The sequence below is a fragment of the Homo sapiens genome, chromosome 12 (assembly GCF_000001405.40).
Source record: "Homo sapiens chromosome 12, GRCh38.p14 Primary Assembly".
Classification (NCBI taxonomy): Eukaryota; Metazoa; Chordata; class Mammalia; order Primates; family Hominidae; genus Homo; species Homo sapiens.
Window position 1 is genome coordinate 15038024 of NC_000012.12, and position 3620 is coordinate 15041643.

Genomic DNA, 3620 nt, shown 5'->3' on the forward strand with positions numbered 1-3620 from the left:
CTGCATTCTATAACCCTGGGTGGCTAGTACCAGGCCCACGGCTTTGCTTTCTGGCCCCTCAAGGTTAAGCACCTGCTACAGTACTGGAGGTGCTGAGGTGTTTCCAGAGTGTTGGCAATAACACTGTAATGGAGGATACCGGCCAAAGCACTTCATCAGGTGGTGGCAGAGGGCTCTGCACTCGTACACATGTGCACTGATCAGGGCAGGGTGGTGACAAATGTTCACACATGCAAGTGCCAGCCAGGTGGTGAGGCCGTGGGTGCGTGTCAGGGAAGCCTGCAGACAGGCTGCAGTGGGAGGAGGCTGTGGGTGCATGGGTAGGCATTGGCTGGTACACATCTGCTGGATCTTACCAACAGTTAGGTGAGGTCTGGTAGTAAAAGACCTATGGCAGCAGCCACCAGGAAGCACCCCAGTGGGCATCTGAGACTGGGCTGCAAGCAGATGCAACCAGGCAGGGACCCCAGAAGAGGGTGCAGAGAGGGAGGTGCTCATATCAGACTGGTCCTGTCCAATGGGCAAGAGTGCCCTGCTCTGTCAAGGTTTGACAGTCAGCAAAGGCTAGAGTCATCTAGAGGAGTGTGGTGAGCCTTTGGGTATGGGCCTCCCTGGCCATACTCCACCACAGCTGTCCCCACACCAAACCCTCTGAGCTCTGCACAAGCTGGAGTCCTGTCCCTGCCACCTATACAAAGAGCTCTCCCTCTCAGCTCCAATGTCCATGACAGTAGTGGGGTCTCCTGCAGCTAGAATTCCAGAAGTCTATGGTAAGACTGGGCCACTTCTCACCTATTTAACTTTAAGCCTCTGGGGCCCAGGAATGAGTCTTCATGCTTAGCAGCTCTATGCAGGATTCCAGCTTCCTCTCCCTTCAGCCCAGGGTCTGTATCCTCCCTCTATCCACTCTCAATTCCTTCCTTCCAAAGATCTGTTTGGAGTGTGCCAATCTTCTTGGTCTGGTCTGTTGGTGGGAGAAGCTCTTCTGAGGTGCATCTAGTCAGCCATCTTAGCTCCCCATTCCTTCTCTTTCTTAACACATACCACATCAAATCTCCATTACCAAAACAATCATAAAAATGTTTAAAATTCCAAAAAAATTTTTAAGATTTTAACATAGATGTGGTAACATATAATAAAATGTATAGATCTGAGTTGTTTTGATAGAAGCAAAATAGTTGGTAAAGAGACTCAAGCCCAACTCATTTTTTCTTGCCAACAGTTTAAAAACCACTCTTCTAATCCATGTTCCCCTGGAAAATATGTAGGACGATTGCTTGAGGGGAGAGGAAATCTTCAAGTAAGCCAATTTCTGTTTTGTTAATATCACATAGTTTTGTAAAGTCTGGAGATGAAAGGCTAATCAAAGTTATTGCAAACATTACCCTCTCTTATTACCTTTAGAACCAAAGTAAAATGAAATGATGTGCAAGACTGAAGAAGGAGAATGTCTATGTGGATATGATGTAGATAACACAGTGATCAAAGATAAACTCTCAATCTAAGTTTTGGCTGCAGACAGGATGTTTACTCTGTGGGCCTAAAGACTCTCTCTTTTCCTAGCATTGTTGTCCATCTGTCCCAATGTGAATCCAGTGAACTTTTCACGCTACCACTATCTTTTGAAGAATATATTTTGAGGGGTTGGAGTTAAAGTTTTAGTACTTGTCTCTACATAAATATATGTGATATGTAAGACCAAAAACTAGAACTGACCATATTAAAAATAGAAGTTGTGTTAAGGTGCTGGGGTTATGGGGTTTTATTTTTCCATGAATTTAGACAGTATTCAAATTTAGAGTTTAGTAAACTGTATATTCTATAGCCTTGATAGAAAAAAATGTAACTGGTGTTTCAGTTAGCCTAATTTGCTCCAGAGAGAACACAACAATGAAAGACCAGTTATGGCACAGTAGAAAGAATCCTATATTGAGGCAGGATGTTTATCTTCTATCTGTGGTCCTGGAATTATGAACAATGTAATTTTGAAAAAATAACTTCATATCTCTAGCCACAATTTTCTGTAGAACAGAGCTAATATTTTCCTCAAAAGGGCACATTTTTAGGTGCTTCAAAGATACATCTGCATCTGTCATGTTAGAGGAGAGCAATTTCCTGTATGTAACTAAACTGCTATTTACACCTGATAGAATTTATACATGATAGATAGTGCATGTGAATCCCCCAAGGATCTTATTAAAATGAAGACTAATTCAGCAGACCTAGGGTGGGGATGGAGACTCCACATTTCTAAGGAGCTTCCAGGCAATGGGGATGCTGTGGGTTCAAGCACCACTCTTCAGATGGTAAGCATTTAGACTTCCTGTGCATCTTCCTCTTGGAGAGATCAAGTCACAGACACTGTTAAGAATGTTCTTTCTAGGGAAAGGGAAAGAAAATGTCAGCTTGGAGACTTAGTTTTTATTTCAAATGGCAAAAGAAGCACATACATTATTTTGGGCAGGATTAAAATATAAATGGTTGAATTTGTAATTAAAATGTCAACTCTAAGAAGGCACTAAAAGAATGAAGGCAGTTGATCAAATACCATTCCTTATTTTTAGTGAGATATGCTGGGAGGTAAAGGCAGAGGTCATGGTTTGTTTTGTGCATCTATGCAAAGGGCAACTTGATTATTATCTTGTAATAATTGAGAATCATTTCAGACAATGGTTGGGTTAATAAAATTCTTTTTTTATTGGAAGGTTTCCTCAGCAATGAAAACTTCCATTTTTAATCATTCAAATTTGTACTTCTCATAAATATGGAAATTGGACTAGGAAATTTTTTTTTTTTTTTTTTGAGATGGAGTTTCGCTCTTGTTGCCCAGGCTGGAGTGCAATGGCGCAATCTCGGCTCACTGCAACATCTGCCTTCCAGGTTCAAGTGATTCTCCTGCCTCAGCCTCCCAAGTAACTGTAATTACAGGCATGTGCCACCACGCCTGGCTAAATTTTTTTAATTTTAGTAGAGATGGGGTTTCTCCATGTTGGTCAGGCTGGTCTCGAACTCCCGACCTCAGGTGATCTGCCTGCCTCGGCCTCCCAAAGTGCTGGGATTATAAGCATGAGCCACCACCGCATCCGGTAGGAAATATTTCTTAATGTAGGGGGAGAGGGCATAAAGAGAAATTGATTAATGGGTACAAATATATGGTTTGACAGAGAAAATAAGACTTCATGTTATATAGATCAGCAGGGGAACTATAGTTTACAGTACTCTATTCACAATAATAATCTTTCACAATAGCTAGAATGAAAGAATCAGAATGGTTTTAGCATAAAGAAAAGACAAATATTGGGCCGGCTGTGGTGGCTCATGCCTGTAATCCCAGCATCATGAGGTCAGCAGTTTGAGACCAGTCTGGCCAACATAGTGAAACCCCATCTCTACTAAAAATACAAAAAAATTAGCCAGGTGTGGTGGGGTGCGCCTGTAGTCCCAGCTACTTGGGAGGCTAGGGCAGAAGAATCAAGTGAACCTGGGAGGTAGAGGTGGCAGTGAGTTGAGATCGCCCCATTGCACTCCAGGCCAGGCGACAGTGCGAGACTCGGTCTCAAAAACAAACAAACAAACAGACAAAACCAAATATTTAAGGTCATGAATATCCCAAGTATACA

At 42.5% G+C, this 3620-nt stretch overlaps 1 annotated feature.

Annotated features, from left to right (window-relative positions):
• Positions 310–810: an enhancer, noted in NCBI's record as "H3K4me1 hESC enhancer chr12:15191267-15191767 (GRCh37/hg19 assembly coordinates)". NCBI's record gives its function as "activates a minimal SCP1, AML or CMV promoter by ChIP-STARR-seq in primed H9 embryonic stem cells {active_cell/tissue: H9 hESC(primed)}" and the evidence as "EXISTENCE:reporter gene assay evidence [ECO:0000049][PMID:30033119]".